General features: G+C 46.0%; 2 protein-coding genes across 13 annotated transcripts in view, besides 3 other annotated features; one reads left to right on the top strand and one right to left on the bottom strand.

Annotated features, from left to right (window-relative positions):
- WSB2 (WD repeat and SOCS box containing 2) overlaps nucleotides 1–8,995 on the top strand; it is a 29,488-nt gene extending 20,493 nt beyond the window's left edge. For all 3 annotated transcript variants that reach the window (NM_001278557.1, NM_001278558.2, NM_018639.5), the window contains 5 exons: nucleotides 3,294–3,394; nucleotides 5,172–5,344; nucleotides 6,358–6,468; nucleotides 6,589–6,696; nucleotides 7,324–8,995. In NM_001278557.1, coding sequence (NP_001265486.1) covers nucleotides 3,294–3,394; nucleotides 5,172–5,344; nucleotides 6,358–6,468; nucleotides 6,589–6,696; nucleotides 7,324–7,486 — 656 coding nt within the window. In that variant the 3' untranslated portion in view covers nucleotides 7,487–8,995. The remainder of the gene's footprint in view (nucleotides 1–3,293; nucleotides 3,395–5,171; nucleotides 5,345–6,357; nucleotides 6,469–6,588; nucleotides 6,697–7,323) is intronic.
- Nucleotides 234–24,979, bottom strand: RFC5 (replication factor C subunit 5). Of its 10 annotated transcripts, none has more exons than XR_007063112.1 (13): nucleotides 24,790–24,979; nucleotides 22,546–22,610; nucleotides 21,914–22,050; nucleotides 20,697–20,776; nucleotides 19,323–19,396; nucleotides 16,672–16,831; nucleotides 15,854–15,935; nucleotides 14,664–14,793; nucleotides 13,652–13,729; nucleotides 11,857–11,911; nucleotides 10,022–10,500; nucleotides 9,064–9,197; nucleotides 234–3,809 (listed from the first exon to the last, which is right to left on the bottom strand). XR_007063112.1 is itself a non-coding variant. In NM_181578.5 (12 exons), coding segments are annotated over exons 2-12 (960 nt in total). In that variant the 5' UTR covers nucleotides 23,631–23,992; nucleotides 24,790–24,979; the 3' UTR covers nucleotides 9,448–10,403. The 10 variants fall into 10 exon arrangements, 6 of the variants coding, with proteins under 6 accessions (NP_853556.2, NP_001123584.1, NP_001333744.1 ...); XR_007063111.1 differs by lacking the exon at nucleotides 234–3,809 and adding an exon at nucleotides 7,134–8,737; XR_007063113.1 differs by lacking the exons at nucleotides 234–3,809; nucleotides 24,790–24,979 and adding exons at nucleotides 7,134–8,737; nucleotides 23,629–23,687.
- Nucleotides 5,950–5,999: an enhancer, noted in NCBI's record as "active region_7106". NCBI's record gives its function as "activates an Ori minimal core promoter by ATAC-STARR-seq in GM12878 lymphoblastoid cells {active_cell/tissue: GM12878}" and the evidence as "EXISTENCE:reporter gene assay evidence [ECO:0000049][PMID:35858748]".
- Nucleotides 6,010–6,069: an enhancer, noted in NCBI's record as "active region_7105". NCBI's record gives its function as "activates an Ori minimal core promoter by ATAC-STARR-seq in GM12878 lymphoblastoid cells {active_cell/tissue: GM12878}" and the evidence as "EXISTENCE:reporter gene assay evidence [ECO:0000049][PMID:35858748]".
- Nucleotides 24,688–24,737: a silencer, noted in NCBI's record as "silent region_4920". NCBI's record gives its function as "represses an Ori minimal core promoter by ATAC-STARR-seq in GM12878 lymphoblastoid cells {active_cell/tissue: GM12878}" and the evidence as "EXISTENCE:reporter gene assay evidence [ECO:0000049][PMID:35858748]".

The following is a 25,074-nucleotide window of genomic DNA, read 5'->3' as shown; positions in this document are numbered from 1 at the left end:
GGGGCTGGAGGGATTGGAAGGAGGCAGTGGTAAAGGGTCATGAAGAGGATCAGGGGCTGGAGGGATTGGAAGGAGGGTCATGAAGAGGCCACTTGTCCCCATGGTGTGAAGGCACTGGCACTCTCTCCCAAGCTATGACTGTCCAGCTCCACACAGCCATGGGAGGGACCTTTCTCCTGCTCTTTTAGCAATGAGCCTGAAAACTTGTATCTTAGTCAATGCCAGAGACTGGGTGGCTTAAACAACAGACATTTATTTCTCACAGTTCTGAAGGTTGGGGAGTCCGTGAGCGAAGTGCTAGTAGTTTTGGTGTCTGTGAGCACCTGCTGCCTGGCTTGTAAACAGCCACCTTCTCTCTGCATCCTCATCTGGCAGGGATCTCTCTCTTTCATGTCTCTTCTTCTAAGGGCACTAATCCCATTCCTGAGGCTTCACCCTCATGACCTATTGACTTCTCAAAAGCCCCGCCTCCTAATACCATCACATTGGGGATTAGGGCTTTATGTGTGGGGGGCACATTTAGTCCATAGCAACTTGTCAGACAAACTAAGGCAGTGCACATGCATCCTCATCTGAAGGCATCTGATCACCAAGATAACTCTAGGTGTTTTTTTGGTTTGTTTGTTTTTTCTTGAGACGGAGTCTCACTGTGTCACCCAGGCTGGAGTGCAGTGGCACGATCTCAGCTCACTGCAACCTCCGCCTCCCAGGTTCAAGTCATTCTTGTGTCTCAGCCTCCCAAGTAGCTGGGACTACAGGCGTAAGCCACCATACCTGGCTAATGTTTTGTATTTTTAGTAGAGACAGGGTTTCACCACGTTGGCCAGGCTGGTCTCAAACTCCTGACCTCAAGTGATCTGCCTACCTGGGCTTCCTAAAGTGCTGGGATTACAGGCGTGAGCCACTGCGCCTGGCCTACTCTAGGTGGTTTCTGCCCAGTACTGTGGAACCTGTAATCCCACAGTCTAAGATGTGCTGCTGATCAGGACAGCTTCTCCAAGGCAGTGCCTCTTTTTTTTTTTTTTTTGAGACAGAGCCTCCTCCAGGTGTGTGCCACCATGCCTGGCTAATTTTCGTATTTTTAGTAGAGACGGGGTTTTGCCATGAAGGTCAGGCTGGTCTTGCACTCCTGACCTGAAGGGATCTGCCCACCTCGGCCTCCCAAAGTGCTGGGATTACAGGTATGAGGTACCACGCTCGGCTGGCAGTGCCTTTTTAAATGCTGGCTTAATGTGTGTACTGAGGCAGCTTGCCACCATCTCAGGAAGGTCCATGCAGTGGCTCTGGAAATCACTTGATGACTTGGAAGGAAAGACCAAGTGAGAGTGACCAAGAGTGGGCGGGATGGAGTAGGCCAATTATGAGAGCTTTTCAAGGAGAGGAGGGGAATAAAGTTGGTTCCCAGCTGACAGGCGCTGCCCCACTGACCTAACATGCCTTAATTTATTCAGTACTCCCAGCACCCTGAGATTTGACAGCTGAAGAAACCATGATTGACCTTTATTTTTTGAGACAGAGTCTCACTGTGTTGCATGGGCTGGAGTGCAATGCTGCGATCTCGGCTTATTGTAGCCTCTGCCTCCTGGGCTCCAGTGATCCTCCTGCCTCAGTCTCTGGAGTAGCTGGGACTACAGGCACCATGACTAACTTTTTAAAAATATTAATTAAAGCACTTTGGGAGGCCAAGGCGGGCGGATCACTCGAGGTCAGGAGTTCGAGACCAGCCTAGCCAACATGGTGAAACTCCGGCTCTACTAAAAATATGTAAAAATTAGCAGGGCATGGTGGCAGATACCTGTAATCCCAGCTACTCGGGAGGCTGAGGCAGGAGAATCGCTTGAACCCAGGAGGCAGAGGTTGCAGTGAGCCGGGATCATGCCATTGCACTCCCACCTAGGCAACAGAACAAGACTCTGTCTCAAAAAAATAAAAAAAAATAAAAAAGAAATATTAATTTTTGTGGATCCATACATCCGCATAAACTTAAATAAATTCATATATATGACCATGTACAGGCGTATAACAATTATTTTTTCTTCTTTCTTGCTTGGCTCTTTCCTTCCCAATTCTCTCTCTTGCCCTCCCTGCTGTTGCCATCCTCCCTTCTTCCCCTGCATCCTGGTACCCTGTGTTAGGAGTATATACCCTTCCATATTTTTCTGTCTACTTGTATAATCCTGTGCACACACGTTTGCATTCATGGCTTTTGGGTCATTGTTTGACAAAAATGGAATCATACATCTTCACGATTTTTCCCTGCATCTCGCATTTTTCATTAAACTGTAGGTACCCCATGGAAAATCTCTCTCTAATTCCAACTGCATTAATGGGGTAGATATACCACCATTTATTCACCCATCCTCTATATGGACGGGCTTTTTTATTTTTAAAGCAAGAGCTGGAGAGATTGTGTGAGACACCCTGGGTTATCTGCTGAATTAGCAGGGGAGTCAGGATTCAAACCCAAGCTGTCTGACTCTAGAATGTGTGCCCCTAGTGACTCCACACCACTGCTCATCTGGACATCCTGGCAAGGCTGGGAGGGTGACAGTCTGGAGCAGGATCCTTGTGATTACAGAGAAACCATTACAGAGTTTAAATGAAGATAAACACTCTCTTAAAATTGGGAATGATGCTTCAGGGTACTTGAGGTGGTTGGGGAGCCTAAAAAGAACATTCTCTGCTATCAAAGGTCCCTTTGATATGGTTTCCTATGAGGAAACCTTTAATGCAATTCAAGATTATATAAAAAAAGTGATCAGCACCTGAGGTCAGGTGTCCGAGACCAGCCTGGCCAATATGGTGAAACCCTGTCTCTACTAAAAGTACAAAAATGAGCTGGGCGCAGTGGCACATCCCTGTAATCCCAGCTACTCAGGAGGCTGAGGCAGGAGAATCGCTTCAACTTGGGAGGCAGAGGTTGCAGTGAGCTGAGATCGCGCCACTGTATTCTAGTCTGGGAGACAGAGCAAGAGCAAGACTCCATCTCAGAAACAAACAACAAAAAAGTGATCAATGTACCCCTTCACCCTTACTGATCTTATAGATTGTGTTGAAGCCATAGGTACTGGTTTCCGTGGGGAATTAGAATATCATATTCATAGATTACAGGTGTTTAAATGACAAATCTGGTCATATTTCTTACTCTGAATTAAAAATTGGACCCTTGGGCCCAGCTGATAGGAGCTGATGGGTATACTGGGCTGGGGGCTGTTACCACCCCAGTTCTCCCGTTCTCCAGTCTTCCTGCTTTGTTGAGGACTGGCTCATTGTTTGCTTCTTTTTCCTGCCAGGTAAACAGATTCAAGTGTTATCGGGCCACCTGCAGTGGGTTTACTGCTGTTCCATCTCCCCAGACTGCAGCATGCTGTGCTCTGCAGCTGGAGAGAAGTCGGTGAGTCTCCAGCGTTATTGCTTTAATTCACTGAGACATGGAGGTCTGAAGTGGTGGCCTGGTGTGTGTGAGTGTTCTCAAAATCGTCCGCAAATCCACCCCAATAGAAGGCATGCTGGTGGGCCATGGCCACCACCTGCAAAAGTCCCTTGTGACTTGCACTTTAACACGAACCCAAAGACAGGAGGGATTTGGAAACAGGTTGCTCCTGTCATCAGAGGGCTGTTTCCCTTTATAAAATGGGAAAACAATTGCTTTTTAAATTTCTTTTCTTCTTGGAGTCTAAGATTTTAAAAGTTGCAGCCCACATGTGAATCCAAATTTCCTTTGAACCATCAAATTTGAATCCCTCTAATTCGGATTTCCCATTCAAATCATGTCAGTGCAGTTACTTGTTGAACTTTGTCCTGAAATCCTGTTAATTGAAAAAACAAACAGGTATTAGAAATCCAAGAACAATTTGAGAACAGTTCTGTTTGAATTTTGTGTTGCGTTGAGTCACTTGCTGTGACTGAAGGGAAGGTTGAGAGTTCACCATTTGGTACAGCCCAGGTGGTTCATCATTTATTTTTGTGGTTTGGAGGGTTTTCTTTTCTTTTCTTTTCTTTTTTTTTTTTTTTAGACAGAGTTTCGCTGTTGTTGCCCAAGCTGGAGTGCAATGACGCAATCTCGGCTTACTGCAACCTCCGCTTCCCGGGTTCAAGCGATTCTCCTGCCTCAGCCTCCCGAGTAGCTGGGATTATAGGCGTGCTACACCACGCCTGGCTAATTTTTTGTATTTTTAGTAGAAATGAGGTTTCACCATATTAGCCAGGCTGGTCTTGAACTCCTGACCTCAGGTGATCCGCCCGCCTGGGCCTCCCAAAGTGCTGGGATTGCAGGCGTGAGCCACCGCGCCTGGCCTGAGGGTTTTCTTAAAGGAATAAAAATAAAATCCTCTTAATGCTTCTCACAAAGGTTTAAAGTGATGAGCTAGGTCAGAGGCCCAGTCTTGGGACAGATTTCCATGGTTCCATACACAAGGTGGGGGGTGTAAAATGCCTTGGCAGCCTGCCACTACTTTGTGGGGTGGCCGCAGATTTCACTTCTGACCCTTTAAAAAAAATTTGAGACAGTCTTACTCTTTCGCCCAAGCTGGAGTGCAGTGACGTGATCTCAGGTCACTGCAACCTCCACCTACCAGGCTCAAGTGATTCTTCTGCCTCAACCTCCCAAATAGCTGGGCTTACAGGCGTGCACCACCATGCCTGGCTAATTTTTGTATTTTCAGTAGAGATGGGGTTTTGCCATGTTGACCAAGCTGGTCTTGAACTCCTGGCCTCATGTGATCCACCCACCTCAGCCACCCAAAGTGCTGAGATTACAGGCATGAGCCATCGTGCCTGGCCGCTGACATTTATTTTTAAGTGGAATAAGATAGCACTTGGCTCAGGTCTTCATCAGCACATACGACTACCCTATTGGCAAACAGGACTCAGAAGCAGACTCAGAAGTCTCTGCACATGCGTTTCAGCAGGGGTCTTCCTAAGGCTGATCTGGTTTATTCTCTCTTATAGTGAGCTCCTTGAGCATGCCCATTGTTTTAAATCCTCAAGAATCCAGACCAGTTGCCTTATTTAAACCTACACCACACGTTCTGGAAGAGCTGTAGAAAAGGGATAGAGAATCAGCCCTGGCTGCAGGGCCTGCAGATTTGGTGGTGGTACCTTTCCCTCCCTCCGTTTGAGTCCTAAGCACTTTGCTTCTGCCCTAACCAGGCACTTCTTACTTTCCACAGGTCTTTCTATGGAGCATGAGGTCCTACACGTTAATTCGGAAGCTAGAGGGCCATCAAAGCAGTGTTGTCTCTTGTGACTTCTCCCCCGACTCTGCCCTGCTTGTCACGGCTTCTTACGATACCAATGTGATTATGTGGGACCCCTACACCGGCGAAAGGCTGAGGTCACTCCAGTAAGGACTGAATCCCTGCTATGACTTTTTTGTGGGGGGACTGATGAGGAACCTGCCTGGGATTAGACATGTCTCTTTTAGAATCTGGGACATGGGAGGGGACAAGCTGGATAAAAAGGCACAGTGGGTCTCTTTTGAGACGGAGTCTCGCTCTGTCACCCAGGCTGGAGTGCAGTGGCGCAATCTTGGATCACTGCAACCTCCACCTCCCGGGTTCAAGCGATTCTGCTGCCTGAGCCTCCCGAGTAGCTAGGACTACAAGCGTGCGCCACCAGGCCTGGCTAATTTTTGTATTTTTATTAGAGATGGGGTTTCACCATGTTGGCCAGGCTAGTCTCAAACTCCTGACCTCAGGTGATCCACCGCCTCAGTCTCCCAAACTGCTATTATAGGCATGAGCCACTGCGCCTGGCCTGGTTCATTGCTTCTTAGTGATGCCTTGTCAATTAAGCCCTCTCAAGTAGCTTTGAGTGTCTTCCAGTCTCCTGATTCAGGTGGCTGTGTGTACTTCTTCGGAATCAGCATTATGAAGCCTCAATATGACTCTTTATTTCCATTTACTAATAACTGTAGTAACAAGTTCAGAAAGAGCCTCTTATCGAAACTGTGCTTTCCAAAATGAGTTTCATGTTCTCACAAACTTGGTCTCCTTTTTCCTTTTGTGTCTGTTGTTTTATGAAGCAAATAATAGGCAGTCCTATAATTATCATGTATCTTAGCCTAAAAAAGACTTGCAGTTTCTACTGTGGCATTAAAGTGAGGGCTGACCTACTTTGCATAAGCAAATTAGCACAAGGAAGTGTTAGTAACCCTTCATCCACAGGACACCTGGAGCCTTCTGAGATACCCTTTTTTTTCCCAGTGTGCAAATCCCAAGCTTTTCCACGAGGGGCACACAATGCATCTTGAGCCCTTTTGTAGCCAGGGCAGTTTGGCTTCCTGCCTAGGGTGATGATGGAGGGTGGAGAGCAGCCATCACTCCAGGCCTGCCATCCTGTTTCTTTCCTTCCCAGCCACACCCAGGTTGACCCCGCCATGGATGACAGTGACGTCCACATTAGCTCACTGAGATCTGTGTGCTTCTCTCCAGAAGGCTTGTACCTTGCCACGGTGGCAGATGACAGGTAACGAAGAGAACTCTCTTTACATGGCCTCAGAACAAGTGCTTGCAAGTAATGGCAGCAAGGCCCTCTTGGTCTGGCCCTGGGTCAGCTAATATCCAGATGTTCTCTCTCCCCATCCAGACTCCTCAGGATCTGGGCCCTGGAACTGAAAACTCCCATTGCATTTGCTCCTATGACCAATGGGCTTTGCTGCACATTTTTTCCACATGGTGGAGTCATTGCCACAGGGTATGTATTTGTTAGCTGAACAGATGGGTGGTGCTTTCTGCTGAGTATACCATGGAGCTTTTTAAGGAAAGAAACCATCTAGAATTTTCTTGCCTATGAGGAAAGCTTTAAGGCAATTCAAGATTATATAAAACTCAAATGATCGATTTTGCTAATAACGGTGTCCCATTTTCTCTGAATATTTAACCTAAATGTAATTAAAGATCTGTAAGTCATGCCACCTAATGGGCCAAGTTCACAAGGGAGAATAAAATTGAGATGATGCATAATATATGGGAAACCATTTAGGGCTAAAAGACCACTTTACAGGTAACATCTATAATTCAGTAGGTGGCACTCTTCCCCCTTATACTTTTGAACTAACTGTGGTCAGATTTAGAAAGGGCTGTGCCGAGAGAGAGACAGAGAGAGCGCTTTGGTATCACAGGTGTCTTGAGTTTTTCTAATCCTATCAGCAGCTTTAATTATTCAGCACCACAATTTTACATCCATTTCCACAGTCAGGGTTACATTTCACTCTCCGAAGTCTCCTGCTCTTTGCAGTCAAAACAGAAACATGAGTATTCATCCTCATGAAAACATGAACATCCAAGCTCTGTCTTAGCATCGGTTTCTGTTTCATTTTAGGACAAGAGATGGCCACGTCCAGTTCTGGACAGCTCCTAGGGTCCTGTCCTCACTGAAGCACTTATGCCGGAAAGCCCTTCGAAGTTTCCTAACAACTTACCAAGTCCTAGCACTGCCAATCCCCAAGAAAATGAAAGAGTTCCTCACATACAGGACTTTTTAAGCAACACCACATCTTGTGCTTCTTTGTAGCAGGGTAAATCGTCCTGTCAAAGGGAGTTGCTGGAATAATGGGCCAAACATCTGGTCTTGCATTGAAATAGCATTTCTTTGGGATTGTGAATAGAATGTAGCAAAACCAGATTCCAGTGTACTAGTCATGGATCTTTCTCTCCCTGGCATGTGAAAGTCAGTCTTAGAGGAAGAGATTCCACTTGCACGGCAACAGAGCCTTACGTTAAATTTTCAGTCCAGTTATGAACAGCAAGTGTTGAACTCTTTCTGCTTGTTTTGATTCAAAGTGCAGTTACTGATGTTGTTTTGATTATGCAACTAAGTAGGCCTCCAGAGCCTCTCTAGTGGCAGAGCAGCTCACACTCCCTCCGCTGGGAACGATGGCTTCTGCCTAGTACCTATCCTTGTGTTTCTGATGCAGTGGTAGCATTGGTTCAAGTTCTCTCCTGCTGTGGTCAGAGTTGCTTCGATGTTGGCCAAGTGCTTTTCTTCTTGGGCTCCCTTCTGACCTGCAGGACAGTTTTCCTGGAGCCATTTGGTATGAGGTATTAATTTAGCTTAACTAAATTACAGGGGACTCAGAGGCCGTGCTCCTGACCGATCCAGACACTATTACTGGCTTTTTTTTTTTTTTTTTAACAATGGTGTGCATGTGCAGGAAATGACAAATTTGTATGTCAGATTATACAAGGATGTATTCTTAAACCGCATGACTATTCAGATGGCTACTGAGTTATCAGTGGCCATTTATTAGCATCATATTTATTTGTATTTTCTCAACAGATGTTAAGGTACAACTGTGTTTTTCTCGATTATCTAAAAACCATAGTACTTAAATTGAACAGTTGCAAAGATGTCTTAATTGTGTAAAGAATTGGTGTAGTCATGACTTTAGCTGATACTCTTATGTACGAGATCTGTCTCTGCTGTTTAACTTCATTGGATTAATCAGCTGGTTTCAACTCTACTGCGAAACAAAAATAGCTCCTTAAAAGTACTGTTCTCCTTCAGTGGCATGTAGTTATCTAATCAAGACACCTCATTCAAACAAAACCTGCCTTAGGAAAATTTAATATATTTTAAATTATTTTAAAAGAAATACAACATCTTATTCTTTAGCTTTCTTAATCGGTGCTTTATGGAGGCCAGTGTAACGTTACATGACTCGTTGAGAAAGTTGAGGAATTTCCTCTACCACCTTTGTTGCTTGAAGAAAAACATGTCTTTTCAAAATGAGAGGCTTTCATTGAAGAAAAGAAAAAAACAACAGTTAAAAGCTTTTGGCTCTCTGTTTCATTTTTTTCCATTAAGAAAAAAAAAAGTCCCCTTTTAAAACAAGCAGGGCTGGGTGTGACGGCACATGCCTGTAATCCCAGCACTTTGGGAGGCTGAGGTGGGAGGACTGCTTGAGCCCAGGAGTTCAAGATCAGCCTGGGCAACAGAGTGAGATAAGACCCAATCTTTATTTAAAAAATAAATAAATAAATAGCCAAAAAAACTTAGTGTGGTGCTGGTGTGCATGGTAGCCCCAGCTACTCAGGGGGCTGAGGATGTGGTGGCATTTACCTGTGGTTCTGTGGTTCCGGCTACTCAGGAGGCTGAGGTGGGAGAACTGCTCGAGCCTGGGACATGGAGGCTGTAGCGAGCCACGATCGTGTCACGGTATTCCAGCCTGGGTGACTGACAGAGCATGATCTTGCCTCAAAAAATAAACACATAAAACAAGTAGTACAGCAGAAGAGCTGGGAATGGATTGGCCAACGTTTACATTTCATGGTTATCTTGAAGTTCCAGGTACAGCAGATGCTGAGCCTCTGGGTGGTTTGAGGCCTGGTTGGCCATCAGATATTTAGCTTCATACTTTGCCGCTGTCCTTAAGGGGGTGAGTCCTCCATGAACAAAGGGAATAGTGACTTTTTCCATTTGACAGTTTAAGAATTTGACATTTTATAAAGAACAGCATCTAAAGAAAGTTTATTCTGTGATATTAGAGACAGAAGGTTTTCATATAAATGCAAGTTTGACAAAGTCAGCATCTTTCTAGCTGTCTAAGGAAGAGTCACTTGTAACACAGCCAGCCAGGAGGCTGCTTTGTTTTTTATTATAAAGAACACTAACACAAATGCAGCATGATTGCTGTAAAATAAATGTGAAATTTGTACAAAAGTCCCAGTCCTTCCGCAGTTCTAGGTTTACAGTCAGGCTCAACCTTACTTGCCCCGCTCCTGCATGAAAACAAGTGCGTTTTATACAGCCTCTGCCACCCAGTGGCATAGTTTAAGGCTCTATATTATATTTAAAATTAAGGTTTTTTTCCTATCATACACATCAATTTGGAACCTGCTGGTGACTCTTCTACCACAGAGGGTAAATAAAAAGACCAGTTTTTAAAGTAAGAGGATTCAGCTCATCTTATAAAAGTATAATAGTTTCGGCCAGACGTCCATTAACATCTGTTTAAATTAGATACAGACACAATGCCAAATATTAGAATCATAAATGTAATTTTGGAGATAATGTTTACCTTGAGTAGGAAGACACTTGGACCATATTAAATTTGAAAGTCTTCTGTTCCAGACCAAAATGGGGTAGGCTAATTCCCTGTCATCCAAGCAACTAAAAGGTAAAAACCTTATAACTTTAAAATAAAAAAGGTTATTTTTTTCCCCTATAAAAGACAGGCAGTATGAGTTAATACATTAAAATTATTTTGTACATCCCTGCTCCAAACAACCACAAAAATGGTACTTTTTAAATGCCTGCCCATCCTCTCCTGGAAGGGGGTTTTTCCAAGATTCGGGGTGACTGATTCATCCCACAGCCCCAGGCAGCAGTTTATCCTGGAACTGTCCTCTGTTCTCCCATCACTGCTGAGCCCTGAGAATTGTGAATGGCCCTCAGAGCATCTAGGCCTCTGCAACAATCAGGTCTCTGGTGACTTGAAATGCAGCAATGAGGGAGCTCAGCTGGATCTTCTCGTTGGTGCCAACAGAAAGCCTGTACCTAACAGAAACCAAACACAGGGTAAGAAAAAAGACACCAAACACAGCTGCCTTTTCTTAAGGGACCAAGAGATCTAGGGCTGAAAATCTGTTGAAGGAGTGGGGATGGGAATTGATAGAACAAATGTGCCCTGGATGGCAATCTTGTATGTGTCCCCCTAACATTTTCTTCTCTGCCCTACACATTGATTTATAAATGTGATGTTTCAAACTTGTAAGGACCGATTCAATTTTAAAAATTATTAGGTATCAGGCCGGGCGTGGTGGTTCACACCTGTAATCCCAGCACTTTGGGAGGCGGGCCAATCACTGGAGGCCAGCCTGGCCAACATGGTGAAACCCCCGTCTCTACAAAACAAACAAACAAAAAACAAAAATTAGCTGGGCATGGTAGTGCATGCCTGTAATCCCAGCTCCTCAGGAGGCTGAGGCAGGTGAATCGCTTGAACCTGGGAGGCAGAGGTTGCAGTGAGCCGAGACTGCATCACTGCACTCCAGCCTGGGCGACAGAGTGGGACTCTGTCTCAAAAAAAGAAATAAATTATTAGGTGTCAACAGCGGTGTTCTGAACTTAACTTTGTCCTAACTATACAGATATACAAAATTTATGTAATGAAGGATTATTTCGTCGGCAAAATACGTTAAGAGGGAAACAAAACAGAGATTTCCTTCCTCTTAAGCCATTTCATCGGGAAGTTTGGCTGATACATTGGTGGGTCTGTGGTCTAGTCAGTAAAGCAGGACACTGGAGTTCATCTCGCCACCTTTTAAATGCCCAGCCACTGATAGCAAAATCATCATATTCACAATGCAATGAGGAGAGGTGACCTAATTTGTGCCTGTGAAAGCCAATGCCACAAATTAGAGTTGGCCTATGCTGACGTCTATGTTGAACCCAATGCTCTGTCTACTTAAATGATAGCTGCCAGCTTCACTGGGGGCTAATAACAGTGTTTACGGAACCAGGCAAAGCAGAAAATTGAGTTTGTGTTTACTTTTCCCCCCAATATGCTTTAGTATGCCAAAATGCCTTAATAACAGCTGGGTGGTTGAAGCAAAGCAGGCCTCCCAAATAACAAGGGCATTTTCAGAATCAATGTGGGCCGAGCCTGTGAGGTCCAAGGAGAGGCCTTCATCTCAGATATGTAACTGATCTGTACTTGACCTGTGAATTTATCCCCATGTTCTTTAAGCAGCTCACACCCTTCCCCACATTCCATTCAATATCACCAGACTAGATTGTACCGTATGTGAACGATTTAGGAAAAAAACCTGAAACCAAGAAAGTTGAAACAAATAACTCACAACAGGGGAAAAAAGGAAGAAAAGAATTAAAACTGGGGCAAGAAGTACTCACTCAATGTCTGCCATTTTGGTCAATAAATGTATTCGAACTGAAGATGGAAAGTCAACTGAGGGAAAAACAAAATCAAATGAGTTAGGTCACTCTCTACTGTCAAAAAACCCACAGAGGACAAATGAGTTTCAACATGAAATCCTTAACACTGAACTAGTCCTGAGGCCTCAGCCTGCTCACTAGATACCAGACCTCTAAGAAAGTAGAAACAGTGCTGGTTTCATACTTTTTACCCACTCGATTTTGTGCTTTATAGGGTAGACAAAAAGGAAAATGAGCAGATACCAAAGTGATCCTAAGAGCACCAAAGATCACACTGCTCTTAGCAGCTGGGTAGCTCTACAAGTTAACTTGAATGCTGAGTTCCCACTTGCTGTTTTTATTTTATATTTTACTTTATTTTGAGACGGGGTCTCACTGTCTTGCCCAGGCTGGAGTGCCATGGCATGGCGTGATCATGACTCACTGCAGCCTTGACCTCTTGGGCTTGAGGGATCTTCCACCTCAAGACCCTTGAGTAACTGGGGCTACAGGTGTGCGCCACCTTGCCTGGCTGTTTTGTACTTTTTGTAGAGATGCGGTTTCACCGTGTTGCCCAGGCTGGTCTCAAACTCCTGGGCTCAAGTGATCCACCCATTTTGACTTCCCAAAGTGTTGGGATTACAGGCGTCAGCCACTATACCGATCCTGTCCCCATTTAAAAACCAAGCACAAACAACTGATTTTTTAAAGTTGGTTTATGCTCAGCTTCCACAATCAAGGTGCAGAGCTGGGCCTGAGCCAACCATACCTTGGGCAGAAGGCATGGCATGGGCCAGCCAGGAAGAGGCCTGTGAAGGCCTGGGCAGAACCAACATTCATTGACCCGGTTAAGTCTCCATCTTGCAGTTGGCCACTGTGGAAGGAAGAGCTTCTCCGAAAGCCTACACAAGTCACCTGGGGAGCTTAGAGAATACGGATGCCTGGTTGTCCTCCGAGAAGCTGACTTAATTTGTCTGGAGTGCCCCTATCTGCTGCCAAGGTTGAGAACCAATTCTCTGTGTAGAAGGTACAGGCAAGTGTGGAACTTAAGATGTTTTCCTTAAGCCTGCTTTGGTTTACATGGTTTACATATCTTCTCTTTCTTTTCTGGGAATATATATCTAGATAGACAGATAGATAGACAGACTTTTTTTTTTTTTTTAGAAATGTGAATTAATATATACTACTTACTGCTATAAAATATAAACCCCTAGAGGAAATAAAGTTAGCCTCCAGGAGTTTTCACTTTCCCCAGCAGTTCTAGATATTAAAAGAGGGTTTATGGAACACGTTTTTTGTGTTTTGTTTTGTTTTTTTTTTTGAGACAAACTCTAGCTCTGTCGCCCAGGCTGGAGTGCAGTGGCAAATCTTGGCTCACTGCAACCTCCACCTCCCAGGTTCAAATGATTCTCCCACCTCAGCCTCCCACGTAGCTGGGATTACAGGCGTGCGCCACCATGCCAGGCTAATTTTTTGTATTTTTAGTAGAGACGGGGTTTCACCATGTTGCCCAGGCTGGTCTTCAACTCCTGACCTCAGGTGATCTGCCTGCTTTGGCCTCCCAAAGTGCTAGGATTACAGGCTTGAGCCACCGTACCCAGCTCTGGAACAAAATTTTAAACAGTGGCAAGACAGAACTGCTAACAAGAAGGGTCTGATTTACAATTCATTAGTTTCTTTGCTTCAAGAATGAAGCCTCCTGTCCTAACCATCCTTAACCCCAAAGCAGGCTACCTTCTCCACAGCTTCTCAGCTGGGGGATAATGTAAGTTACCTCTATGCACAAACAAGTGTATCTCTGTCAGGATATCATGCAGTGCCAACCCCTTCAGAGTTTTCAACTCTGTAATATCTAGAGGAGCAGTTAAGGCAAAGGGAACAAGTTCCAGAACAAACATACTGCAGAGAATTTTGAATCCAAACCCGGGCAAGAGACTTTTTAAAGTAAGGCTTTTAATCCCAACACAACTGTTTCTCTTTCAACTTGAAGCTGCACGTGTTGGACTCCAATTCTTTATTTTTCTTTGTTTCATCTTCAGTAAGGGCTTTCTGAAAGATAGAGTTGTAACTCCTTCTAGTAGAGAATAAAGCCAACTGCGTTTTCTTTTTCTTTCTTTCTTTTTTTTTTTTTTTAAGATGGAATCTCCCTCTGTCACCCAGGCTAGAGTACAGTGGCATGACCTCGGCTCACTGCAACCTCTGCCTCCCGGGTTCAAGCAATTCTCATGCCTCAGCCTCCCGAGTAGCTGGAACTACAGGCACCCACCACCACGCCCGGCTAATTTTTGTATTTTTAGTAGAGACGGGGTTTCGCCATGTTGGCCAGGCTGGTCTTGAACTCCTGACCTCAAGTGATCTACCGCCTCAGCCTCCAAAAGTGCTGGGATTATAGGCATGAGCCACCACACCCAGCCCCAAATGCATTTCCAAAAAGGCTTTGTGTCACCATTCCTAGCCTTTCATTTCACAGCACAAGAGCTATCACTATCATGACCACTTGAAAATTCCTGCATCTTCAATGCCAAGGCCTAAGCTTTTCTCCCATCTGTGAGTGAAGCTGCTTCAAGCCTTACCCTGACTTGAAGGTCAGAGCCCTCCAAGAAGAACTCTGGAGTGCTAAAGACAAGTACCCACTCCACCTACAGACATCTCACTCCCACAACAAGCTGACCAGAGTCGCCTGCAGCCAGTCATCCTTTGCCAGCAAGGTGTGGGTGCTGGCTGCAACCTGAACTCCTGGGGCCACCTTCAGGTCTCGGTGGCCAGGAGGTCATGAGAAAGGATACTTCTGTAGGCTGTGGTGAAATCTTGATTCAACATCCAGTCCAGGATGTTGGCAATGTCTGACTTGAGCGGGTGCCCGGTGCAGGTGTAGACAGTCTCCTCTGTCACCTTCCCAAAGGCCATATTGGTGCTCTGTGTAGACAGAGGGGGAAAGGGGAGATCACAGTGGCTGTCACAGCTGCCACCAAGCTGCAGGGAGCCAAGAAGAAATTGCCAAGGCAGCAATGCAGGTGAGCAGCAAAGTTCTATGGGCACAAGGCAGTGGGAACCCACATATTCAATACCGGAAGAGTCACCTCATCAGAGGATGCCACAGCCTGTTGGCTATTCCAGTGCCAAATCCTTCCCTCCCTTTGCCTTCTTTGCAACAAATGATTCCTTTTGTTTTTAAAACATTTTCTTTTGCTCTCTCTTTGTTTTTTGAGACAGGGTCTTGCTCTGTTGCTCAGGCTGAAGTGCAGTGGCATGATCATGGCTCACTGTAGCCTCGACCTCCTAGGCTCAAGTCACCCTCCTGCCTCAGCCTCCTGAGTAGATGGGACTACAGGTGTGCACCGCCACACCTGGCTCATGATTTTTTAGTGGAGACAGAGTCTCACTATGTTGCCCAGGCTGGTCTCCAGCTCGTGGGCTCAGGCAATCCACCTCCCTCGGCATCCCTAAGTGCTGGGATTACAGGCGTGAGCCACCATACCTGGCCTGCAACAAGTGATTTTTTCAATTAATCAAAATACAAAGTGAGGAGGGGGAATCCTGCAGGTTATGAGACCAAGGTCTTACCAGCTGTAGATTTCAAAATTTACAGATTGATCATGCCTTTGCTTAGGTCTTTCTTCAAAAACTATTACAAAACAATGACTCAGGATTTGCTGGGACCAGGCTGGGCATGGTGGCTCATGCCTGTAATCCCAGCACTTTAGGAAGCTGAGGCAGATGGATCATTTGAGGTCAGGAGTTCGAGACCAGCCTAACCAACATGGCGAAACCCCATCTCTACTAAAAATACAAAAATTAGTAGGGCGTGGTGGCGGGCACCTGTAATCCCAGCTGCTCAGGAGGCAGGAGATTCGCTTGAACCCAGGAGGCGGAGGTTGCAGTGAGCTGAGATTGTGTTGCTGCACTCCAGCCTGAGCGACAGAGCAAGACTCTGTCTCAAAAAAAAAAAAAAAAAAGGATTTGCTTGAGACCATACCTGCAAAATGTTCAGAGCCCTACGCATGTCTCCACTGGAAAGAGTGACTAGTGCTTTCATTCCATCTTCACTTATATCAACTCTGAAAGAAATAAGCAAAAGGGATTTATGAGGCCCCCTGAGAGCACCAGCATTCACCAAAGGAACAAGATGGCCTGGAATGATTAAGGCTTTAAAGGGATGAAGGAAGGAGAGGAACAGAGTTAATAATCTCCTGATCTATATGATCTAGAATTCACTCTGGTTTTTAGGGACCTGGGCTTCACATTAGTAGTCACAGCCAACCAAAATCGAGAACAGCCTGAATTTAGGAACAAGCATTCTCCCATGGAGCCAGTCGTCTTGAATTCTGCTCTCTGGGGAGGACAGAGGCCTGGCACAAGCCATGATCACACAGCCGAAACTCCTCCTTCACAACAAGCAGCTGCTCAGGTCGGCTACTTGCTTGGCATCTGACTACACAGAATGTGATGTCTTAGAACCTTCCCTTCTAGTCTAAAAAGGCTGGAAGCATCTTTGCAGAAGGGACTCAGCAGCCTGCAGTTTCCAATGACAAAGAAGAGTAGGAGGAAATTGGGACAGCTTCCAGGGGAGGAGGATGGAATCAAGAAAAATGAAGTACCAAATGACTTTTATGAGGAATGGCCTTGAGACAGCAGAGAAAATGATAGCAGTGGACGGTCCCCAGTGCCTCCCCTGTGCTAGGCACTCTGCAAAGTCGTTTTCCAACATTCCTCTCCTCTACATACGAACCAGCCAGTGATCCCACAAGCCTGTTTCTACTACACTCCATCCCCAAAGGCCCGCAAAATACTCACTTCTCTTCTTCCACGACATGTTCCAGGCGGGGAACCATGAGTTCAGGAGTCAGGGGACCGAACCGAAACCTCGTGCAGCGGGACTGCAAGGCAGGGATGATCTTTGACAGATAGTTACAGATGAGGCAGAATCTGGTATTTTCTGTGAATTTCTCAATTACTAGTAAGAGAAAATAAAACCACCTCATGTCAAAGTCCATTCTGATTTTTCAGAGAGCCCAGAAAACTTGAATTTTTCTGTGGTCACAAGGGTATAGGAAAAGATTCAATACTGCAAACAAGTGAGGATGTTGGCCGGGCGTAGTGGCTTAGTGGCTCACGTCTGTAATCCCAGCACTTTGGGAGGCTGAGGCGGGAGGATCACTTGAGGTCAGGAGGTTTGGCCAACATGGCAAAACCTCTACTGAAAATACAAAATTTAGCCAGGTGTGGTGGCACATGCCTGTAATCCCAGCTACTTGGGAGGCTGAGGCAGGAGAATTGCTTGAATCCGGGAGGTGGAGGTTGCAGTGACCCAAAATCATTCCACTGCACTCCAGCGTGGGCAACAGAGTGAGACTCTGTCTCAAAAAAGAAAGAATGTAAACAAGTGAGGCTGCAGCCTATGACAAGACAGGGCAGTGCTGGCCTGTTCAGATCAGAGATTAGCCACTCCTCTTTTTTCTTTTTTGAAACAGAGTCTCGCTCTGTTGCCCAGGCTGGAGTGCAATGGCACGATCTTGGCTCCCTGCAACCTCTGCCTCCCGGATTAAAGCGATTCTCCTGCCTCAGCCTCCTGAGTAGCTGGGACTACAGACACGTGCCACCACGCCCGGCTAATTTTTTATATTTTTAGTAGAGACGGGGTTTCACCATGTTAGCCAGGATGGTCTCGATCTCCTGACCTCATGATTCGCCCGCCTTGGCCTTTGGGATTACAGGCATGAGCCACTGTGCCAGGCCAATTTTTGTATTTTTAGTAGAGATGGGGTTTCATCGGTTAGCCAGGCTGGTCTCGAACTCCTGACCTCAGGTGATATGCCTGCCTCAGCCTCCCAAAGTACTGGGATTACAGGTGTGAGCCACTGCGCCCTGCCTAGCCACCCCTCTTTCACAAACTGGTAAACATGCCTCCGTGGGATTTTACAAAATGCTTCCTTTTTACCATTTGCCATGATTCTGGCACTTTTGCCATGTAATCCCATTAAGACTATGAGACTTCTTGTCCTTTTACATAAAATTATATTTGGCAGGTTGATGACACTTCACCTTCTATGGGCAGGGAGGGCGGCTTTTTGCAGACTTTTCCATGGAGACTGTCTGGAGGCCTTAGAGCACTCAAGGGAGCAATAACCCGAACAAAGAGTTGCTTATGACACCGGTTCCATTCTGTAGGTACCCAATGTTCTCACATGGGGATCTGCCCAGAATGACAGTCACTCGGCAGAACAAGATGCCGAAGAAAGGCTGCCAAGCTTCTAGGACCAGAAGATATTCTCGCTGTCCTCCTCCTCCTCCTCCTCCCCCACCTCTCCTCCTCCACCTCCCCCTACCCTCCTCCTCCGCCTTCTCCTCCCCCTCCTCCTCCTCACCCCCTCCTCTTCCTCCCCTCCTCCCCCCTCCTCCTCCTCCCCCTTCCCCCATCCTTCTCTTAACATGTGCTGCCATCTACTCCCTCGCCACAAACTCCTAAAGATCGTTCTTCTCTCAAAGCTGATTCACTTGGAATCTTAATGAGAGATGACAAGTGTCCTTTAAGAGAAAAGAACTGCGCTAGGCCCCTGAAGACAGACAAATCGCAGGGTGCTGTCCCTCCCGCTGCCAAATCATTCACTTGGCAAGCAGTGAAGTAATATCAGCTCTCTGAGCACCTCAACTTCAGATATGCTTTTCCTAGCCATTGTGGTTCAAAGGGTACCATTAGTAGAAAGGAGAGGGTACTATTAGCAGAAGGACTATCTGATAGCTTAAGGATGAAAGATTTTCCACACCCCATCCCACGGAAAGATATGAATTCCCAACTCTGAAATTGAACCCAGTGTCAAAGGAGGTTGAACACCAGTGACTGGCCAGACTTAAAAGTCCCCGCAGGGCTTAGTCCCTAGGCTGCTGAAGGGGAAGTCCCGCTACAGAGGTATCTAGCCTGTGTCATTAGATGGGAGACACAGAGAAAGGCATAGAGATTTCTCTGGGCCAGAAGATGAAAACTGAAAACAAGCCAAGCCATATCTCACATCCTAATTCTCCTGTAATCCCAGCACTTTGGGAAGCTTAAAGTTCCTAATTCTCCTGTAATCCCAGCACTTTGGGAAGCCGAGGCGGGCGGATCACCCAAGGTCAGGAGGTCGAGACCAGCCTGGCCAACATGGTGAAACCCCATCTCTACTAAAAATATAAAAATCAGCCGGGTGTGGTGGTGCATGCCTGTAATCCCAGCTACTCAAGAGGCTGAGGTCAGAGAATCGCTTGAACCCAGGAGGCAGAGGCTGCAGTGAGCCAAGATTGCGCCACTGCACTCCAACCTGGGTGACAGAGCAAGACTCTGACTCAAAAAAAGAAAAAAAAACTCCCCCCCGCCTAAAAAAACAATGACAACAGCAACAAACACAAAGTTCCTAATTCTCCTTCCAGTGTGCACACCAGCCCAAACGCTCCACAGTGCCTCTGCTTACCTCTTCTCAAGGCATTCTGGGCGTCCTGAGTCATGGCGTCTGCTTCATCCAAGATCACTAGCTTAAAGCCTTTCCTAGAAAAACAAATGGTGCTGTCTAAAGATTTCTTCAATCTCATCTCAACATCTGGGCTCAAACCTATATCTTCCCATTGTGCCATCGGGCCCTGTCTCAGAAAGACAATTTCTTCTAGAACTTTGGCCAAGGCAGACATCTTTGGTCACTCAGAGAGGAAATGCCGCATCACTCCTTCAACCCTTGGTGGGAATGGAGGAGACTTCTCTACTTCTGTGCGCTGTGTCCTCTGGCATCTTCACTTTCCTCCACATGGCACCCTACCATGCTACTGCTTTTCCCGTCTCCCTCACTCATGCCTGAGTCCCTCACCCTTTTGCTTTTTTTGAGACTAAGTTTTTGCTCTGTTGCCCAGGCTGGAGTGCAGTGCCGCGATCTTGGCTCGCTGCAACCTCTGCCTCCTGGGTTCAAGCGATTCTCCTGCCTCAGCCTCCTGAGTGGCTGGGATTACAGGCGCCCACCACCATGCCCAGATAATTTTTGTATTTTTAGTAGAGACGAGGTTTCACTATGTTGGCCATGCTGGTCTTGAACCCTTGATCTCAGGTGATCCACCTGCCTAGGCCTCCCAAAGTCCTAGGATTACAGGTGTGAGCCACTGCGCCCGGCCCTCACCCTTTTTCTTTCTTTCTTTTTTTTTTTTTAGCCACCATCCTAGTTGTCCTTCCTGATCTCAATTTATTTTTAAATTCAAACTAGCTCATCCAGTCTTAGGGTAATCTAGCCAGTTCTCAGGAACTAAAAATGAAGTTAATGCTCCCTAAAGAACTTGGTAATGCAGGCTGGGCTCACGTATGTAATCCCAGCAGTTTGGGAGGCTGCGGCGGGCAGATTGCTTGAGCTCAGGAGTTCGAGACCAGCCTAGGCAACATGGCAAAACCCCATGTCTACTAAAAAATACAAAAATTAGTTGGGCGTGATGGCTCACGACTGTAGTCCCAGCTACTTAGGAGGCTGAGGCTGGAAGATCGCTTGAACCCAGGAGGTGGAGGTTGCAGTGAGCCGAGATCATGCTACTGCACTCCAGCCTGTACGATACAGGGCGACCCTGTCTCCAAAAAAAAAAGAAAAAAAAAACAAACTTGCTAATACAAGCGTAGATAACATTTTATTTTAACAGTTGCATTATAACGCTTCTTACTACCATCCCTCTCGTTTATCTCTTTTCCATGGTTGCTTTGGACAAAGTCACTTTTTTTTTCAACCCATATAAACTGGCTAAGGAGAGGATTAAAAAATTAACCCATATCATCTTACTAATCAAAATCAAGGGAGCGAAATTACACAAATAATTCTTACTTAAATATTGTCCTTGTGCTAGCAAAGCTCAGGATCGGTCCTCGAATGATGTCTATTCCTCGGTCATCTGAAGCATTCAGCTAAATGTGGAAGACAGAAGACAAAACAAAAACCATGTTGCTGTGCTATCTGTGAGTTCTTGGTGTTAGTGTATTTCCTCATCAGTCCAGCTCAGCAGGCTAGCTCTCTATGTCTAATGATGGCTAAGAGATCATCATAAAATAAAAAATCAGTTTTACACAAAATTCACTAAATTAATAAAGATGGCTATATTACCCCCACCCTTTGAGGACAATGACTGACATAAATTGGAGAAATAATTAATTGGTATGGTTACACTGAACAGCACCTCTGGTATGAGCAGAATGATACAAATTTCAGCTACCACAATCCTAAGTTACCAAGTTCTTAATAAACTGAAATAAGGACATTAGTAGCAGCAAAGTTCTGAGACCTGCGTCTAAAAAGTAAGTTAAACTTTTCTTGCAATAGACAATACTCAGATTTTTGAATCTAAGTATATTAGTCAAGGTCCCAGCAATATACAGATGGCATACTCAAATGCAGCAATTTGAAGAGAATTAAACAAGATCTTTTTAAAGGTGTGATATAGGAAAACCATGGGGCTATGCAATACCTGTCACCCTTGAGCCTGAAGGGCTTAGTGAAGGGAGTGGCTGTAGGCACCTGGAGAGGGCTGCAGGAAAGGTACCACCTGTGAGATGTACCCTACAGGTGGGCCATGCTGCCAGCCTGTGTCAGCCCCCAGGGAAGGCCCAGGCATCACTCACTTCCTTCCCCCACCCCTGCCAAGGCCCCTATTGGCCAAACCCAACCAGGAGCCAGAGGGTAAGTGAGCTTATAGTCAGTAGGGCTCAGCCTTCCAGGCAGGAATATGGTGGAGAAACGTGGAGAATTGATCTAGAGGGGCCATGGCAGACAGGCAGCAACCAAGTCACCATAAAGTAAGGTTTGGGGAGAAGTTGGCAAGAGCAAAGAAAAAGGTGCCAAACCCTACAACTGCCCTCTAGCTGACCAACGCTAATCCAGACCAAAATGACCATTATAGGAAAAAGGGAATTAAAATATTCAAATTTACTTCTTTCCTAACTGTCCGTGGGGCAACTTACTTTTAAAGTAAAATAAAACCAGCAGAACTGAAATTAAGAGACTGGAGTCTCTTAAGTTATTTGTAGAGTAAGAACAATCTTATTTACCTCCAAGACCATGGAGCCAAATTCTTTGTCTTTATATAGCTGTTTCGCACAGGCTAGGATGGTAGATGTCTTGCCTGTCCCTGGGGGACCGTAGAGAAGCAAGTGTGGCAGTCGGTCTTCATTGATAAACTTCTGAACTGAGGATCAGGAAGGAAGAAGGGCACCATCAGTCTTTGGGAGCTGCCTCATTCACCCTGGGCTCCTGAGTTGGGCTGAAAGCTCTTCAACCCAATTCAATGTCCAAATCAGAGGCAGATACAACTTGATGTAGGGGCCTCATATCTACTTTCGTGGAACAACTGGAATTCACTCAATAGCGCAGCCAGTCAACAAGTATTTATTGAGTGCCTACTGTGTTACAGGCACCTTTCTGGGTGCTGGCAACATCTGTGAACTTAAATGATTCTCCGTAATGCTATTTTTACTCCACTGTGTTGCAATTTTATGCTCATGTTTGTGACTTACCCACTGGACTGTAGCAACCTGAAGAAAATGAATGAATGATCTTAAAGCCACATTCTACAAAGCGCAATCAGATTCTTTGAAGTTATTACTTAGGAGAGACAACATCACCAAGCAATTTATACAAGTCGCTCAAGCAGGACAAGAGCAACTGACACATGAATACTTACTGGTACTCAGAATGTCCTGATGAGAAATGAGATCATTCAGGGTCTGTGGCCGGTATTTTTCAACCCTGAAATACAATTTAGTATGTATTATGACATATATAAATGCAAGAATATTTTATGTGCAAAAGAATCCTTGCAGGTCAGGCACAGTGGCTCATGCCTGTAATCCCAGCACTTTGGGAGGCCAAGGTGGGTGGATCATTTGGGGTCAGGAGTTCAAGACCAACCAGCCCGGCCAACATGGCAAAACCCTGTCTCTATGGGTACCTCCTAGGGTCTTTGTAAGGATAGAACAACTAACAGGGTGTCTGCTAACCCGATAATATGCCATTCAATAAAAAATACCAAAAAATACAAAAATTAGCTGGGCATGGTGGCATACCCCTGTAGCCCCAGCTACCCCGAAGGCTGGGGTGGGAGAATTGCTGGAACCCGGGAGGCGGAGGTTGCAGTGAACCGAGATTGCACCACTGCACTCCAGCACTCCAGCCTGGGCGACAGAGTGAGACCTTGTCTTAAAAAAAAAAACAGAATCCTTTCATATCCTAATTTAAAAAGGAAGAATAAGAAAGCACTTTAAGTTTGAACAGACCAGTGGTTCCCAACCACAGGTGATTTTGTCTTCCTAGGAACATCTAGTGATATCTAGAAACATACTTAGTTGTCACAGGTGGGCAGAGGGTCCTATGGCACTCAGTGTGTAGTCTCCAGGAATGCTGTTAAACATGCTACAGTGCACAGGACAGCTCCCCTAAACCCACCCAGAGTATCTGGCCCAAAATGTCAATAGTGCTGAGGTTGAAAACTCTGTTCTAACTTCATCTTTCCAGCTGTTTGCCTATAATCTCAACCTGATGGGCACCTACTATTGCAAAGTGCATTTGAAACTGAACTCCTACCCAAATAGACTTCAACAGAAGAATGGATAGGTAAAATCTCTTCTGTCCATACAATGGAATATGATTCAGCCATAACAAGAAATTAACTACTGATACAAGCAGCAACATGCATGAACCTTGAAAACATGATCCTGAGTGAAAGAAACCAGACACAAAAGGCCACATAGTGTAGGATTCCACTTACATGAAATGTCCAGAATAGGCAAATCCATAGATAGAAAGCAGATTAGTGGTTGCCAGGGGCTAGAGGAAGGGGAGAATGGGGAGTAACTGTCAATGGGTAAAGGATTTCCATTTGGGGTGATGAAATTTTGGAACTAGATAGCGGGAAGACTCCACAACAGTACACTGCATTCTGAATGTACTTAATGCCACTGAATTGTACATTTTAAAATGGTTACAGGATGGGCTTGGTAGCTCGCCTCTAAAAGTCCCAGTTCTTCGGAGGCTGAGGCAGGAGAATGGCTTGAACCCCAATGTTTGAGGTTACACTGAGCTGTGATCACACCACTGCGCTCCAGCATGGGCGACAGAGCGAGACCCTGTCTCTAAAAAAAAAAAATACGTAAATACATAAAATAGTTACAACTGTCAATCTTCTGGGTTTTTTTTAACCACAATAAAGACAAATTGAACTAGTTACTAGACAATGACAACTTGCAGCTTTTCGAAGCCAAGCCAAATTGCTTCAAAGTCTTGGAAGCATTGCGAGAACATAGCTGTTTAAGTAGGATGGTTAAGAGTACAAGATCTGAATTCAGACTTCCTAGATTCACCTCCAAGCCAATTTTCTCCCTTGGACCATAGGGAAGTCATTACATCTTTCTAAAATGCAGTTTCCTCCTGTGTAAAATTTGAAGCGGTGCCTACCTCCTACGGTCTTTGTAAGGATCGAACATCTAACAGGGCGTCTGCTAATCTAATAATATGCCATTCAATAAAAGTTGACCAGGGAGCGTTATTACTAGTTTAAAATGTGACCAATAGTCGCATCGCAGGTTTTGAAGAGTGGGAAGAGGGCATTTTGGCATGGAGGCCATTGCAGGCGTCAGGAGACGCGGGATCGAACCCCTGTGCTGTCACCAGGTGCGAAAGCCGCCTTCTTCTTCGGCAAATGGAGCTGGGGGTGAAAGGGTGAGAACTGGCAAAAGCCCTAAACAGAACGGACGAGTCTGGGTAGCTGGGGGGTGTCGGGGGAAACCTCTGCAGGTCGGTCCCGGCTGCAGGCCTGGAGACGACGGGAAGAGGTCGGGTTGGGGTCCGGTCACCTGCCACCCCAGCCACCTCCTCCCCGCGCGGCCGCCTGGCCCCCTCTGCCCACCGCCGCCGCTCGGCCTCCTCCTACCAGGGCAGGTTCCTGATCTTGGTCGCCGCGGGCTGCTCCTGCTGCTTGAGTGCTGAGGTCTCCATGGCGGGGAGACGAAGGTGACCAGATCCGCTGAGATCGTCGCGTCACCCAAGCGCCTGCACAGTGACCAGCCGCGACCTGACCCTGAGACCCTGGCACTTACAGTTCGCGCGCAAAAGCAACTCTCGCGAGACGCGGCCACCAGTTTCCGACTTCCTCCCTCGGTCCCGCCCCCTCGCGTTGCTAGGGCGTCGGTTGCTAGGTTACCGGAGGCGCGGGCCG

The sequence above is a fragment of the Homo sapiens genome, chromosome 12 (assembly GCF_000001405.40).
Source record: "Homo sapiens chromosome 12, GRCh38.p14 Primary Assembly".
NCBI classification, from domain to species: Eukaryota; Metazoa; Chordata; class Mammalia; order Primates; family Hominidae; genus Homo; species Homo sapiens.
Note: the sequence above shows the minus strand (reverse complement) of the source record. Positions and strands in the feature narration are given on the sequence as shown.

What these genes read in the sequence shown, in the direction of transcription:
- RFC5 (NM_007370.7), bottom strand. Translation starts at nt 24,854, where the DNA reads ATGGAGACCTCAGCACTCAAGCAGCAGGAGCAGCCCGCGGCGACCAAG. An exon ending in TCAGGACATTCTGAGTACCA is followed by an intron (nt 22,051 to 22,545) that starts GTAAGTATTCAT and finishes CCTGATCCTCAG; the next exon opens with TTCAGAAGTTTATCAATGAA. An exon ending in ACACTTGTTTGTGCATAGAG is followed by an intron (nt 11,912 to 13,651) that starts GTAACTTACATT and finishes TTTTTCCCTCAG; the next exon opens with TTGACTTTCCATCTTCAGTT.